General features: G+C 38.2%; 1 protein-coding gene across 12 annotated transcripts in view; it reads right to left on the reverse strand.

The window, feature by feature from the left end:
• Positions 1-18,009, reverse strand: part of CAB39L (calcium binding protein 39 like) — a 135,415-nt gene that overhangs the window by 18,466 nt on the left and 98,940 nt on the right. For all 12 annotated transcript variants that reach the window (NM_001079670.3, NM_001287337.2, XM_047430698.1 and 9 more), the window contains 3 exons: positions 17,064-17,123; positions 12,562-12,627; positions 4,832-4,975 (listed from right to left, as the gene is read on the reverse strand). In NM_001079670.3, coding sequence (NP_001073138.1) covers positions 4,832-4,975; positions 12,562-12,627; positions 17,064-17,123 — 270 coding nt within the window. The remainder of the gene's footprint in view (positions 1-4,831; positions 4,976-12,561; positions 12,628-17,063; positions 17,124-18,009) is intronic.

Raw genomic sequence — 18,009 nt, forward strand, 5'->3', positions numbered from 1 at the left:
ATTGGCTCTATCAAAATCTAATATCTTTTGCCATACTTGCCTTCAGATTTTTTTTTTAATAAAATATTACAGATATAGTTGAAGGCTATTGGACACTCCTGTATGATATCGCTTATTCTCTTCCCTACTTCTTCTCCTGAGATGACCATTATCCTGAATTTGGCATTTGGCATTCCCATGCATTTTGCAATTTTGTTTGTTTTTTTGAGACAGAGTCTCGCTCAGTCACCCAGGCTGGAGTGCAGTGGCACAATATCGGCTTACTGCAACCTCTGCTTCCCAGGTTCAAGTGACAATCCTGCCCTAGCCCACTGAGTATCTGGGACTACAGGCATGCACCACCACACCTGGCTAATTTTTGTGTTTTTAGTAGGGACTGGGTTTTGCCATGTTGGCCAGGCTGGTCTCAAACTCCTGGCCTCAAGTGATCCACCCACCTCCGCCTCCCAGAGTTCTGGGATTACGGGCATGAGCCACCATGCCCGGATTCCATGCATGTTTTTGGACTCTAACTGCATATATATGAATCCACACTTAGTGTTCTTTTGCATGTTTTCAAACTTTAAATAAATGACATATTTAAATATTTGGTCATTCCACTCAACAAAATGTTTCTAAGATTAGGCAAAGCGATCCACATAACTCTATTTATTTTAACCCATTATTATGTGCTATTGTATTTGTGTAGCACAATTTATTTTCCCAGTCTCCCACTGGTGCCCATGTATGGCTTTTCCCATTTTAAACAATGTTGCAATAAACATCTTTGCACAGTAAGTCCTTATTTAAGGTGGATAACTTCTTAGAAATTGTAACTTTAAGCAAAACAACAGATAAGGCAAACAATTTTTCCATCAAATTTACAACAAAACATGGTTATTCGAGGACTTGCTGTAATGTACATGGTTTTGTTTAAAGTCTGCTTCCAAGCACCTATCAACGACTTTAAGAGAGGATTTACTGTACATAACCCCTTATGCACACATCCAAGAGTGTCTCTAAGAAACTGCTTAGAAATGGATTTCAGAGTTGAAGGGTATCCACAGCTTCAAGAGTTTATTTTGCTAAACTGTTCTCCAAAGTGATTACACCAATTTACACAGTGTATGACAGCTCCCACTGCTGTCCAATCCTACAAAAATCTGATATGGTTGGACATTTTCGCCAATATGAAGAACATAAAGTGGTATCTCATTGATATTTTAATGGCCATTTCCACAATTACAAGTAAGAAGAACACCTATTTATTGGCCAATCAGGTTTCCTCATCTGTAAACTACCAACTTGTATCTTTTACCAATTTTTCTGTTATTTGTCTTTTTCTTAAAGACTTGTCAGTTATATATGTCACATTCTATCCTGTCTTTTCAGTTTATGATTTCTTTTTTGAACAGAAGTTTAAAATTTTAGTGTGGTCACATTTTTAAATATTTTCTATTATGGCTGGGTATGGTGGTTCATACCCAGCCATAATAGAGGCCAAGGCAGGAGGATCACTTGAGCCCAGGAGTTTGAGACCAGCCTAGGTAAAACAGCGAGACCTCATCACTGCAAATAATAAAAATAGAATTAGTTGGGCATGGTAAGGGCAGGCCTACAATCCCAGCTACTCAGGAGGCTGAGGCAGGAGAACTGCTTGAGGCCGAGAGGTCAGGGCTGCAGTAAGCCATGATCACACTACTGCACTCCAGCCTGGGCAACATAGTGAGACCCTGTCTCAAGAAAAATTTCTATTATGTTTTGTGACTTTTTATTTCTTTTTAAAGGAATTCTTCCTACCCCAATATTATATAGACAGCCTCTTATTTTCTCTTCTAAAAGTTAAAAAAAATTGCTTTTCTAGTGCAGATCTTTATCTAGAACTTATTTCTGTGTATACTGCAGGGTAAGATTCTCTACACAGACAACCCATTATCCAAGAAACATTTATTGAATATTTAACCCTTTCTTCACTGGTTTATAATCCCTCCATGATCAAATATCAAGTTTCGGATTTATATAGGTTTATTTCTGGGCCCTCTACTCTGTTTTGCTGTTCTATTTATCAGCTTCTAAGGCAATACAATGCTGTTTTCATTTACTCTAAATCCATAACAAGTCTTAATATCTGGTAGAGAAGATTACTTCCTTCTTCAAAATTGCCATAGATAATCCTAGGCTATTGCTCTACCACACAAATTTTAGAATCAGCTTGTCAAGTTCCAGGGAAAGTCCAGTTGGGATTTTGAATGGAACTGAATAAAATTTATAAATTAGTTGAGGATTTTAACTGCTCTAATGGGCTTCTGGACAATAAATATCTGGGCTGGAGCTTCCAGAGAGCCGAACACATGGAGACTCCTGAGGGGTGGCTGCTCAGGGAAGGCATGGAAGCTCCATGCCCCTTTCCCCATACCTTGTCCTACATATCTCTTCAATTAAAAAAAAAAATATATATATATATATATATATATATATATATATATATATATATATATATATAATGATGTAATAAATATCTGGTGGCTGAAAGATCAACTAAAAATGTCTTACTTTTCAAAGCAACAATTACCTTATAAACTGCCATGCCTCCCATTTATGGACTTACAAATTCTATCACTAAACATTCTTTATAAAAACTGAGATCAGGTGCCATGGTTCACACCTATAATCCTGTAACTAGGCAGCTTAACTTCAAAGTGCATTTAAAACATTTTTCCCCTTTCTCTTGGGTTTAAAAATGTAACCTTGAAGCAAACTGCAGAAGTGTTTTCCCTTAGTCTTAAAATAGACTCCACGACCCACCCCTTTCTCACTGTCTATACTCCCTTCACATTTATCTAACTGCATGCTGGTATCTAATTATCTGCCTACTTAGAAGTTCCAGGGGCTAAACGTGAATCTTGAGTCAGACAGACCAAGCTTGGAGACCCAGCTGCAAAATTCCAGAGATAACCTCAAGGTGGCTAGTCAACAACCCAGCCATCGTTGAGACGATGCCAGCCTGCTTTCCACCTGGACTGGGACCCAAGACAGCTACCAGAACAAGAAATACAGACACTGTACTCAGCATAATTTTTACATGCCTTCCATATCATGTTTTCTCTTTTTAAAACCTTGCCTTGCCCCTAAAATTCAAAGTAGTTGCGTTGGATGGGAATCTGGCCACTTTCCTATTATTACTTTTGGCTAATAAAGTAACTTTCTTTTTACCAGACCTGCCTCTTGTTAACTGGACTCTGCGTGTGGTGAGCAATCCAACTTGTGTTCATTTACAATCCCAGCACTTAGAGGCTGAGGCAGGAAGATCACTTGAGCCTAAGATTTTGAGACCAGCCTGGGCAACACAGCAAGACCCTGTTTCTTCAAAAAATAAAAAACTTAGCTGGGCGAGGTGGCACGTGTCTATAGTCCCAGCTACTTAGAAGGCTGAGGTGGGAGAATTGCTTGAGCCTAGGAATTTGAGGCTGCAGTAAGCCATGATCACACCACTGCACTCTAGCCTGGGCAACAGAGCGAGACCCTGTCTCTGAATTTAAAAAATAAATAAAATTTATTTTTTATTTAGAAAAATATTTATTTTTTTATTTATTATAAATTTATTATTTATTTTTTATTTATTAGAAAAAAGAACCAAAAAAATCTGGAACTCTCTGAATGCTTATTTCCACTCTAGGTATCTATCAGAAGATAAGAATCTTAAATATTAAAAAAATTAGCTGGATGCATAAAATGCACATTGTAGCATTACTTAGAGTAGGAAAAAATGAAAGTAACCTAAATATCAATGACATAGGACTATTAAACTAGAAGAAATATACCCAATGATACACTATGATGGTGAGAAATATACTGGCTCTAAAAACTATTTATAGCAATAATGAAAATGGTTACTTATGGTATAGCATTAAGTAATAAAATTAGGATATCAGTTGTTGGTACACTGTGAATACAGCTGTAGAAAAAACTCTGGAATGTGTGCACTGAAAAATAAAATGTACTAAACTATTTACAATAGTTAGGCTGGGAATACAGAATTACAAATAGAATTCTCCCACCTACCCCACCTGTTAAAAAAATCTATTGTAGGGCCAGGCACAGTGGCTCATGCCTGTAATCCCAGCTCTTTGGGAGGCCGAGGAGGGCGGATCACGAGGTCAGGAGATCAAGACCACCCTGGCTAACACGGTGAAAATCGCTTTTACTAAAAATAAAAAAAAAATTAGCCAGGAGTGGTGGCACACACCTGCAGTCCCAGCTACTCAGGAGGTTGAGGGAGGAGAATCGCTTTAACCTGGGAGGCAGAGGTTGCAGTGAGCCGAGATCGCACCACTGCACTCCAGCCTGGGCAACAGAGTGAGACTCCATCTCAAAACAAAAAACAAAAAACAAAAAAACCACTATTGTCTAAAGGGGTTACTTTTCTATCATAACAAAATACATTGTAAAAAAATAATAATATTAATAATGTGAGTAGTACCCGACTGTGTCTTCAGGGCGTCATTTAAAGTTCGAAGAGACAGTGCTTGTAGGAAGCAAAGCATTCAAGGCCGACACTCAGGGTTTGGGATCTAGCTCAATCACTGATTGTTTTAGAAGTTTTGGGAAAGAGTATCATGCATTTTCTCCGTGAAAAAATAAAAATATTTAGATGTATGGATTAGTCAGCAAACCTTTATGAATGGGCATTCATTAAGATAACTCTGAAATTTCATCTAAATCATGCAAAACACAAAGACTGCCTATTTCATTTTCTTTCAAGTATGAAGGAGAGTAAAGAGCAGGGAGTTTGCCATTTGGAACTGGAAAAAAAATTGCCTACAACATTGTTTCCAGAGCTTGTACTTTTTACCTTAAAAACATGAAAGGCTTCAAACTGGATGTTGGGACTTTTATCCCGAAGGAGGTTCATCATGAGTTTCAGGTTCTCCGGCTTGCTGATATACTTTGTCATGATGGCAAAGTTGTGACGGTCCAGGATCAGCTCCCCTAGCAGCTAGAGGAAAACACAAAACCAAAGCTGTAATCTCAGAGCCACCTGATTCAAAATATAGCTCACGTCTTCTCACTGAAAAACAAAATATAAATGTGAGTAAGAATGGTGTTGTGAAAAAAATTAGAGTGTCCTTAAGTGCATCTCAAAGCACAGGCATAAAAGCAATAGTTATTGAGCAATTTTTTCACACTGCTTTGCTGATGTCAGTGCTTAGTACCTTTTTTTAGTTGGTCTTTGCTGCAGCTCACCTAGAGCTAGGCAGAAATAAATTTATGGTTTTCAATACTCACTTTAATTATCTTGCTTCGCACTAATGTATTGCTCCATAGGCATTCAGGTAGAAGTAATAACAAAATTGGTACCATAATGATACCTTCTTTACCTGCATAAATGTATGCTAGGAGTTCACTATTAAGACAGTTTGTTAAATGACTCTTACATTTCCCCTGACTTTTATTATAAAACCTGATATAAAGTCAGAAAAAAAATTGACCCCAAATCTGTATCAAATTTAGTAAGTGCAGCAAGTTTTTATTAAAAAGCAAAGCAAAACATTTTTTGGTGACAAATTGATAGTTCCCCAAATACAGCATTACCCTAAAACAAAATAAAAATACCCAAAGTAAGAATAGTTGAAGACCCTCTAGCAACATGGCTGAATGTATTGTTGCTCTATCTTAGAAACTTTTTGTTCTCACCATAATTCTGGAGAACAGAATTATAGCCCCCTGGCTGCTGTAGCAATTCCTAAAGCTTCAGCAGCCAGGGGGCTGAAACATACTGTAATATAACTTTATATAGAAGATATGTTTAGTTTTCAATTGTCCTATTTACTGGACTTTTTCTGAAGGCCTCAGGGGAGTAACACATCATTACATGGTTACAGAAATCCTGGATGGGAAGAAAAGCGCACATCAAACTGAGGGCCAACTGTCTATCAAAGGAGTCCCAGATGTGTGCAAGCATCTGGCTGCCAGTAAACCACCACCTTGCCTGTGATGTATCTTTTGTGTATTTAACATGAAAGAAGTATACAACCTGAGGTTATTTTAATGCATGAAAATAACGTTTGTCAAACCTGAAAAAAGGATGACCCCTGTTGGATGTTGGCTGGTCACTAGTTATTCTCATACACATGGAATAGCAACCACGTAGTCAAACTGTTAATCTGCAACCTCCTTCATCTTTCTGCAGCTTCTAACGTTAACCTAACACCTTCTGGAAACTTTCTTTGCTCCTGGTTTCCTACCTTGTGCAGCTTGTTCCCTTGCTACCTCTTCAATGGCTCCCTTGCCTTTTGCACTACTTATGCAGCAATTTTCCAAGCTGTATACTTGGATCTGCTATCTTTTATCTCCCAACAGTCTCATCTATACCCATGGGTTCAACTGTAACATCTAGGAAGATGTCTCCCAAATCTACATTTCTAGTCTCCGCTTCTTTCCTAAACTCTAGACCCACATTTCTTTCTTTCTTTCTTTTTTTTTTTTTTTTTTTTTGAGACAGAGTGTCACTCTGTCGCCCAGGCTGGAGTGCAGTGGCGCGATCTCGGCTCACTGCAAGCTCCACCTCCCAGGTTCATGCCATTCTCCCGCCTCAGCCTCCCGAGTAGCTGAGACTACAGCCACCTGCCACCATGCCCGGCTAATTTTTTAGTATTTTTAGTAGAGACGGGGTTTCACCATGTTAGCCAGGATGGTCTCGATCTCCTGACCTGGTGATCCATCCGCCTCGGCCTCTCAAAATGCTGGGATTACAGGTGTGAGCCACCACACCCGGCCTCTAGACCCACATTTCTAACTGCCCACTGGGCAGTCGCACTTGAACACTGCTGGACTGTCACACTTAGCGTCTCTAAAACCAACTCCCTTTCTTCTCTTTGTTAATGGCACCAGGAGCTGCCCTCCTCCGGTTGGGAAGAGAATTGGTCTTCCTTAGCTCCTTTCTTTCCCTTGCTCCTCACATCAAATCTCCATCTAAGACCTACCAATTTTCTGTTTTTAAGTGTTTCTTGAACACCTTTCATTCAATGTTCACAGCCAGTAATCTCATTCAAACCCTCACTACCTTTCAGCTGACCTACTACCACAGCATGCAAAATGGTCTCTCCTTCAGTCCTCACCTAATCCGATCCATTCTGCACATTTTGTCAAAGAAATCTTCCAAAAATCAGTATTTGTTACCAATTCCACTTAGATTAGAAAGTGAACGAATAAACAAGCAAATTCCTAGATTCCCATAGATTTAGAAAAAAGTAACTCATTAAGATGCCGTTCCCAGCCTCTGTGATGTGGAATCATTTCTCCTGCTTCCTTTCCTCAGCTCCCTTCCTCCATCTTCCCCACTCTCCTGTCTCTGTGGCTTTACTTCCCCAGCTCCAAAATCTTGAGAAACACTTTCACCTCTTCTCTGCCTGTTCAAACCTGGCCCATCCTCTCAGAACCAGCTCAGACATCGTCTTCGGGAAAGCCTTTCCTCTTCTCTACAGTTGACTTTGCTTTGCCTTGTAGTGCAGAGTTATTTGTGACCCTGTTTAAAGAATAAGCTCCATAAGGGCGTGTTTCAAATCCCCTTACAACCTAACTGTGTGATGTGCATGGGTATTGTTGGGGAAATAAAAGTCCTACCCACATATCCAGAGCACAATACAGTAACTCATCTCTGAAAAAGAGATTGCAAACAGACAAAACTATCCCTTATTACAGTCAAGAAGCTACAATCCATTACATATATATATCCTCAAGATGAAGGGTAACCTGTCCACTGGGGGAGGACCTGACTACCATTTCTGTGCACTCTTTCATGGTTCCCCCTAATGCACCTAGCAATTAAGGTGACCATTTGTTTTAGCTATTTATCTGAATAATAAAACTTCTCTTATCTCTCTGACAAGCAAATAGTTGGAAAAGGGCACCTAGGTTAAACTCTCCTTGTGACAGAGAGATAGTATTATCTTCCTAGATGCTTATATTTCAAAGGTAGGGCTTCCAGACCCTCCAAAAAGAAAAAACAAAAACTAAAAAACTTCTGGGTTGTAAGCCTGTCCAGAGCCTTACTTATCTTCTAAAGATATATACAAAAATAATCAAATACTGAATAGACACATATATATCATATACACTCATGTTAAAAGGCTTCAGCAAAAGGAAAATTTCATTTTTGAAAATTTACACACACACACTCAATAAACATTTGTTGAAGTTATATTTATGAGTTAAGTTCAGATTAGGTCACTTCAATTTTTATTACCTGGGGATACCTACATATAAATTCTATCCAATCTATCCTCTGCTAATAGAATTTCACAATTTTTCTGAAACAATTAATTGTGTTAATTCAACACTAAATCTTTTAGCCATTAAATGTTAATCTATTTTAATATTAACAATGACAAAATGCTGCATTCCAGAATAATACAAAGCACTATAAAGCAATACTATACCAAGTAAATGGGAAACACACATATTTTACTTCTTTAAATTTCTTATTTTGTATGCCTCATAGTACATAGTTAAGCCATGCAGCAAGTGGAAATAAGTTTTTTAGAAACCTAAGTGTTTTAATGAAATTGACCAGAGCCCAAAAAATTCCCCAGTTTCCACCAAGCTTCTTTTGAATTATAATCTTTCTTGCTGGTAATTAAATGCCAGGCCTCTGCAGAAGATAAGGAAAAAATTCCAAAGCTCTGTCACATGATGGAAAGGAATTTCTCTGTTAATTATTTTTTATTGACACCAGGAATTAAGCAGTGCAGGAAAATTTAGAATATGATTAATAAAAGGCAGCAGGTAGCAACTACTTTGGAATCAGAAAATAGCCTAGTACTTAAGACAGTTTATTACTTACAAAGTTGCTATATAATAATCTAACCTCTCTTGTTTCCTGCAATTATGAAACATCTATGTAAAAAGTATTACAGAATCCATTTATACAGAAACACAGTTGTGTCAAAATAGAATATACTGCTACCACAGATCTAATTACCAAAAGGAAAAACCAAAATTGCATCAGTGGAGCTTCCAGAATGTTTTTCTAGCAAAAAAAAAAAAAAAGAGTAAACAATATTTAATGAGCTCTATGTTTATATATGAGCTTATTTCACAGTCGTCTACCTTTTTGTTTGCTTGAACAGAGTGATGCAAAACCATTTTGGCAACATCTCTTCCTATAATCTAACATTAAAAAAAACCAGCTCTCCAGTAACCATTTTAATACTTTCTGCATTCTTAGGTAATTTATCTGCATTTTGTCAGGCATTTTTTTCCAGTGTCCTATCAATTCTTGGTTTTACCATGCTATAAATCAGATATCCATGAGATGCCTAACTGTAAAGATTTTAGGAGGAATAGCAGCCAAATGGTATGTCTGGGTGAATTAATGAAAAACAGGAAAGATGCCTCGTGAATAGGCTAAGGCATCTGCAAATAAGTAGGAAATACAAACAGCTTTCTTCCTCCAAATTTGGTTCAATCACCTTAGTTCACATAAATCTCTCGATTTTGATCCAGTATCTGATAGACTCCCATTGAAAAAAAGGAAGGATTTGGAGAATTTATGAGCAACTTCCTATATGCTGGACCTTCAGAGCACTGTCACCTCTGTTTACTACTCCAATTGCCATCTTCCTTCCAGGGCCACTACTCGTTGTACCATGGACAAGCTTACCTCATTTGGCTATCCTTGTGGAGCCCTACAAATAACGAGTTCTGTTCTTTACGTATGCAGCTGTATAAAGAGAATACAACCTTATCTTCATCTGCTCTTAGCAAGCTTTCTGGACATGGGAGAACACAGCGCTGAAGTCACTCTCTGCCCAAAGGTCAGTTCCACACACAGTTTGGTCTCATCACTACTGGGCTTTTTTTCTAGATGGGTCTCCTGGTATAAGTTTCTACACAAAGGGGAAACTCAATAAAAAGTGCTGGATGGCTGGCTGAAAAATGGCCTCCCCATTAACACCCAGTGAGGGTACAAATATAAAGGAAACCAGGTCATGGCTGATGCAGGATCGTGGGCAAAGTAAATTGACAAAAAATGTGATACAAAACAGATTGACTTTATTGTCTTAGTTTAAAATTATACTCCAAATTTAGAAGCAAATGCATTGTTCTATGAATGCCATCATCTTGACATGTAAAAATAACACAAGTGTGTGACACTATATCCCAAACCTAGAAAAAATAGGAAAAAATGACAATACAAGTGTGATGTTTAGCAAGCTGGACCATCATATGAGTTGCTGCACTAAAAACAGTCAGTTTTATCATCTGCTGAAAACATTCTTTTTGTGGGATTCTGAGAGGGATCTGAAGGACAGAGACACAACTCCAGCCCACATCTCCCTCCCCTCAGGGGCTCTCCCACCTCCCCCTGGCCACATGGCTGCTTCCAGGCACCATTCCACTGTGGGAGAGAGGGCCACTTATAGATGGATGTGGTCTTACTCTGTTGGGTTCCCTGTCATTTCCACAGCCAGTTAATAGGTGCATAACCTCAAGTAGCAGATGTAACTTGGTTTCACACAACACACACATACACACAAAAACACCCTTATCAGAGCCATCTTAATTTTCCATAAATTTAGCCCTCTGTTTAAAGATCAACTCATCAAGGACTTCACTGATCGTCTAGCTGCTCTGGCGCACACACACACACACACACACACACACACACACACACACACACGCCTATCTCCCAAGTCGCCGCTTTCTGTCTCCTTTCCCTACTCTTCTTTTTAGTACTTAAAACCATCTGAAAACTATGTATTTATTTGTTTATTTGTCTATTGTCTGTTTTCCAACAACAGAATGTGAGGCCCAGAGCTGTTCTTGGCTGTCATCATATGTCTGGAGAATGAGCACATAAATATTTGTTAACTAAATGGAATGTCTTATTACCTCCCTCACACCTCCTTCTCCAATAATTCATCAAACTATGCTATTTACGGGTAATTGAGAATTGGCTTTATTTTCATTTCCAGCTAGCTGCATCGTCTTTTAATCTCTTGCCAGATTCTGTTTCAGTGTAATCCTGGCAGTATTTTAGAAAAGCAAAATTTCGGTATATACCCAAAGGACTATAAATCATGCTGCTATAAAGACACATGCACACGTATGTTTACTGCGGCATTATTCACAATAGCAAAGACTTGGAACCAACCCAAATGTCCAACAATGATAGACTGGATTAAGAAAATGTGGCACATATACACCATGGAATACTATGCAGCCATAAAAAATGGTGAGTTCATGTCCTTTGTAGGGACATGGATGAAATTGGAAATCATCATTCTCAGTAAACTATCGCAAGAACAAAAAACCAAACACCGCATATTCTCACTCATAGGTGGGAATTGAACAATGAGATCACATGGACACAGGAAGGGGAACATCACACTCTGGGGACTGTTGTGGGGTGGGGGGAGGGGGTAGGGATAGCATTGGGAGATATACCTAATGCTAGATGACGAGTTAGTGGGTGCAGTGCAACAGCATGGCACGTGTATACATATGTAACTAACCTGCACAATGTGCACATGTACCCTAAAACTTAAAGTATAATAATAAAAGAAAAAAAAACTGTAAAAAAGAAAAGCAAAATTTCGTATATGCGATCATGTAGTCTTCTGACATATCTGTTTGTTAGAGGTGATTTTTAAAAAACATTTCTCTTCTAATTCTTAGGGAATGACCATGTTTCATATTTCAGAATCTCTCCCGTAAATATCATGTGAACATGTCATGTTAAGTGGTGGAAGTATTTTAAGCAACCTGCAGGAAAACACTGACTGTCGTGAATGCTCAGGGAATGGGACCTGGTGATGAAATATAGCATAAAAAATTCTTTAGGAAAATATGTTACAAATCTGGGAGATAAATGCTTCCCATAAAACAGAAGCCCCATAACATTTCAACTATATAAACATAATTTGATAGTAAAAAGCTATTTTATACTCAAAAATACAGATATTAAGAATTTATCAATTGCTGTGCTTAAAACTTAGAGGGAAGGTTTAATTTTTGCATTTTACATGTCTTTTTTTTTTTTTTTTTTTTTTGAGATGGAGTTCCGCTCTTGTTGCCCAGGCTGGAGTACATTGGCACGATCTTGGCTCACTGCAACCTCCACCTCCCAGGTTCAAGCGATTCTCCTGCCTCAGCCTCCCGAGTAGCTGAGATTACAGGAGCCCACCACCACGCCCAGCTAATTTTTGTATTTTTAGTAGAGATGGGGTTTTGCCATGTTGGCCAGGCTGGTCTCGAACTCCTGACCTCAGGTGATCCGCCCACTTCGGCCTCCCAAAGTGCTGGGATTACAGGCGTAAGCCAAGATGCCTGGCCTCAGCAGAAATATTCTAAATTTTACTTATCATGTACTTATATTGTTACTTCCAAAAGCAGGACAGGACACTTACATTATTTTGCTATAAAATACAGTCATAACATAAAATATAGTAAATACTTCTCAAGTTATTTAAAAAAAGGATATTTTAATTTTTCTGTGTTTACTCATATACTAATAGACCCGTCATTTGCTAATGAGATATAAACTTACGGGGACACTGACTTAAAGAAATTTGATATTACCTTTAAAGACTGTCTCTTAGTAACATAATTCTCAGACTGAAGCAATTTCTCATAGTCTTCAAAAATCTAATGAAAAGAAAATACACATTAGAGTGTAAAAGCAGCAGTGGATTCTCCGTATTAGGCTGGCTTGCTTTCTTTTTCAGGAGCAAATTCCCAACTTCTGGCCATTTTACCATCCTTCTTTACATGTGAAGACACTGGGGGACAGGGAGGTCAAGAATTACAAGAGACATCCTTCCCTATTTTATTTTAGTTCTGCAAATTAGATAAAAACTGAGTAATTTTGAGTCCTTCCAATAAATCATTTTGAATAAAACTTCTAGTAAAAGTTGCAAGAGAACTCATTTTATGCCATTTTAAAGAAATCTTTATGTAAGTAGCCTTGCTGGTGGCTATGGGTCCACAATTTGGGAAAATATTAAATACACTTAAGGCTTCACTTGGCAAGCCATAAAGAATCAGACTGTTCAATTCACTGCATAAACAGATAAAGAACGAGGCAACCTTTGTTGCATGACGGCCCAACTAGTCTCTCTGGAGCACTTCACTCTCACCGGAAGCTGGGGACACTGGTGCACGAAGTCTTCTTTCCTAACATGGTCACCAACCATGGCCTAGCCCTTCAGTTTAACACAGAGTGCTGGCATCTGGGGAGGTTCAGCATTCACTTCCATCAGGTGTGGGCACACAGCTCATAGAGCACTGAAGTGGGAGGAATGAGCGCAGCCAGGACGGAGGACAAGAGATCAGGAACTGAAGAGGGTGACAAACTCCTAGCCCTCGGAGAGTCAAGTGCGAGGGGAGAGTGTGTGCCGCTGTGTAATGAGGGCAAGCTGTGCATGCTGACAATCACCGATAGAGAATAAAGTGAAAAGTAAAAATACAAAGGTGTAGCTCACATTAAAATCACAGTAATTATACTCTTTAATATGAATGACTTATTTATTCTATCCTGAAACACAAGGAGAATTTTGTGGATCATTAAATGCATCAGACAAGCCTTGTGATAAATTTGAATAGTAAATATAAAATGCAAATACATGTATGTGGTATGACCTACTCCCGAGTCCACCAGCTTTATTACTTTAGAGTCATGCATCATGTGCTCCAGTTTCATGGCATACTGCTAAAGAAATATCAGCTGAAAGAGTCTGAAAGGTTTGAAGGGGCATGAGTTCTCAGAGCTCGCATTCAGGCCAATGCAGGAGCTTCAGCAGCTGTGAAATTACTAAATTACACAAGAAGTGATATATGGATGTAAAAACAAAATTAGGTAAAAAAGGAGTCAAAGAGAATGAATTTATTAGTCTCTCAAACTGTCATGTATTATACCTGAACACAAAGCATTACTGCACAACACATTTACCTCATTCATTCTATAGGAAAAAATAGTAATTAGTTGATATTGTAGATTTATCCACGTTATCTTAGCCTTTTAAAAATTTTATTTCTTATAAATGTGACATCTAATGAATCTTTCCTTAACATTCCATCTAGCATATATAGTTACTGAACAACCAAACTATATATTAACAGTTCATTTCCTAAATTCAAAAATAGACAATTTTCTTTTTCTTTTTCTTTTTTTTTTTGAGACCAAGTCTCGCTCTGATGCCAAGGCTGGAGTGCTGTGATGTGATCTCAGCTCACTGCAACCTCCGCCTCCCGGGTTCAAGCAATTCTCTGCCTCAGCCTCCCGAGTAGATGGGATTACAGGCACCCGCCACCACATCTGGCTAATTTTTGTATTTTTATTAGAGACAAGGTTTCACCATTTTGGCCAGGTTGGTCTTGAACTCCTGACCTCGTGATCCACCCGCCTCTTTCAGTCTATACATTTTGGGATGCCTCTAGCAATAAAAATTATTCTCCTTGCAGTAGAATGAGGTTATCAGAGGCTGGGGAAGGTAGGAGGGAGGGAAGATGAAGAGAGACTGGTTAACAGGTATAAAAATACAGTTAGAAGAAATAAGTTCTAGTATTCAACAGCACAGTAGGGTGACTATAGTTAATAATTTACTGTATATTTCAAAATAGCTAGAAGAGAAGATTTGGAAAGTTCCCAACACAAAGAAACGATAAATATTTGAGGTGACGGGCATCCTGATTACCCTGATGTGATCGTTACAAATTGTATGCATATATCAACATATCTGATGTACCCCATAAACATGTATAATTATTTTGTATCAATTTAAAAAATCATCCTCCCCTCACATTTTACACTTAAAACAAATACTCTAGTTGATTCTGTGGCTATTTCCTTTATAACATGAGGACATAAAAATCACTTTTGATTTTATAATTATATTGCTAATTCCTAATCTTAAATTGAAGGACAACTGGCAAAAATAAAATTTATTTTATTTATAATTAAAAGAGAAGTAGTTAAATATTTGTGATTTGAATGTGTGAAGATATACTATTGATAGGCAGAGTAGGCCACACCTTCCCAGTATTCAGGAGTATGTTGCAACCTTTGTCTAGGATATAAATGATTCAGAGACTCCTTGAGGACTATTATTAATATTTGTTTGCTACCACTGGTCCATATGCCTATTATGTGCCCAACTATACTGCATACTGTTGGGAAGGCATAAAGTCATAGTAATCATCAAAAATGTACTTCTTTTTGTAAGCACATGTAATTTAATTTAATACTAAAGATTTCAATCAATAAAGATACTTTACCTTAATTTACTTATTACTACCATAAATATCATATACACATGAAATTGTTTTTTGCTTTTAATAGATGAAGACAAAAAAAATCCATTCATCATACCATATATATAAATATTTAGAACTTCTTGGTTTAGGCATCAATAATACAAATAGTTAAGTGCTGCTTTAAGACAGCAGATTACATTCTTGCTGTTAGGTGTCAGGCACTAGACTGGGTGATGGAGACAGAGTAGTAACATTAACTAACACATGTAAAAATGCCAAAAATCCCAGTAAAAAATAACTGTGGCTGTTGCTAGGATGAGGATCAGAGACTCCCCTTCCCTAAGTCCTAGTTTAGATGCATGCTGTCCAACATAGGGCCATACGCGGCTACTGAGCACTTGAAATGTGGCTAGTCCAAACTGAGATGTGCTGTAAGTGTAAAATACACATCAGATCTCAAACACTCAGCATGAAAAAAGGATGTAAAATAGCTTGATCATTTTTCACTTCATCTTAGCCAAAAGACCGAGAAGCGATGATCATTTTCCATATTGATTGTACATTAAAATAACATTTTTCGTATGTTGGGTTAAATAGATGTATATTATTAAAATTAATTTCACCTGTTTCTTTTTACCTCTTTGTGTGGCTAACTAGAAAATTTTAAGTTACATAGTGGCTCTCATTTCTGGCTGGCATTATATTTCTACTGGACAGCACTGAGGTAGAGCATCTGAACCAACACTAGAACAAAACATACAAAGTTTTCCTTCTAGGTTTGAGCTATATTTTACTGTATAATGCTGCTTCTATTGCTTACACATTTAGTAAAAGTATCGTTGCTTTTGGATGGATCTGTCACCACCAAATGTATGACACTGCATTAGGCATTAGGAAAACAAGTAACAACGATTAAAAACTAATACTGAGTGCTTACTCTGGTACTGTGCTGAAAACTTTAAATCCCGTCAAACTCCCTCAACAACCCTATGATTCAGGTATTATTACTATGTTCATTTTGCAGTGGGTGTAGTAACTTGCCCAGGGCCACTAAGGAGGCAGGTCTTGAAGCCAAGCAAGCACGAAGACTCTAAAGTCCATACTGTGCTCTTAACCCTGTGTCCTGCAGATAAGATTCCTGCCTCTTAGGGGGTGCAAGGGCCAGCCAGAAAGATACAGACACACCATAATAATACAAGGTGAAAAATAAGAGGGAGCCAGAGAGAGAGAGAAGAAAGAGAGAAGGGGAGAGGAGGGAGAGGAGGGAGAAGAGAGAGGAGAGAGGAGAGGGGAGAGAGACAGAGACAGAAAGAGAGAGAGAAAGAGAAAGGATGCATGTTTTGGGAGGGGTAGGATTAGGGAAAGCTTTCTAAAGAGTCATATTTCAACCAAATCTCAAAAGGATGAGTTGGATTCACTGTCAGGGAAGGGAGTTGCAAGATAAAAAATATTTCTGGTATTTTTACTACTAAGTAAGACTAATTATCAACCAAGTAAAATGATGTACTTTAGTGAGGGTGGGGTTCTCTTCCTTTTGGAGTTACCTACTGCCTCCTTTGATTTGCAACATCAAAGCAAGCAGGTGCTAGTCATTTATTGAGCTTCAGAGCACAACACGAAGAGATGTGAAAAAGGTGAAAGCCCTGACCTCCTGCCATCTCAATTTTCCATAAAGTTTCCTGATGACCTGGTTTCCAGGTAGACAAATCAGGAGTATGGTTGAATGCGACTGATTTCTCTTGTGGATAATTCACAGGGGCAATTGCTCATAGATCTAAAAGGGAGGGAGAGAGAAAGTGGGAAAGTCTTTAAAAATGATTTCTACTTACAGTGTCGTAATTTTGTTCTAAGAAGTCTGCTACCAACACTTTATGTCTGGTTAGTAAATCCTAGAAAAAGAAAAACCAAGTGAAACAAAACTGTTATAGCTATTAATATTACAAATGTGTCTTTTCTAAGGTTTAAGAACATATAAAAGTTGCAGAAGAACATTTTCATTTGCGCCACAAAATTATTTCCATTCCTAGCTTAGCCTAAGATGTGAAATACAAGTTTGTTTCATGTTAGAAAAGAAAAACTCTGGTGTTAAACCTAGTGTTTCAAATTCATATTGTTAGATTTATGATAGAAATAATTTAACTGGTGAAACAAATGGAACTTGAGATGAGTTAATTTTTTTTTTTTTTTTTTGAGATGGAGTCTCACTATGTCACCCAGGCTGGAGTGCAGTGGCATGATCTCAGCTCACTGCAAGCTCTGCCTCCCGGGTTCAAGCGATTCTCCTGCCTCAGCCTCCTGAGTAGCTGGGACTACAGGCGCCCGCCACCACATCCGGCTTTTTGTTTTTGTATTTTTAGCAGAGACGGGTTTCACCGTGTTAGCCAGGATGGTCTCGATCTCCTGACTTTGTGATCCACCTGCCTCGGCCTCCCAAAGTGCCTTAACCACTTTTAAAATGGGCGCCTCGGATACTGGAAGCGTAGGACTGACATTTAGCAGTGTCAAACCAGTATTGTTCCTGCTCTTGGGTTAATGGGATGTAAGGTGTTGTGCAAGTTACTAAGTAGCACAATCCATCCTTTCAAAATTGAAGATGAGTAGCCCTATCTTATGGCAGATATAAACTTGCAGAAAACTGAACAAAGCATGAAGAAACATTTGACTGTCTTCAACTCATACCTAAATTATATCCTTAACTCACTTTAATGTTGTAGGAAAACAAGCCTCACTTAATCCCTTTTATATGCTTAGAGGCTAAATGCCCTGTCTAGGTGC

Source organism: Homo sapiens, chromosome 13, assembly GCF_000001405.40.
Source record: "Homo sapiens chromosome 13, GRCh38.p14 Primary Assembly".
Classification (NCBI taxonomy): Eukaryota; Metazoa; Chordata; class Mammalia; order Primates; family Hominidae; genus Homo; species Homo sapiens.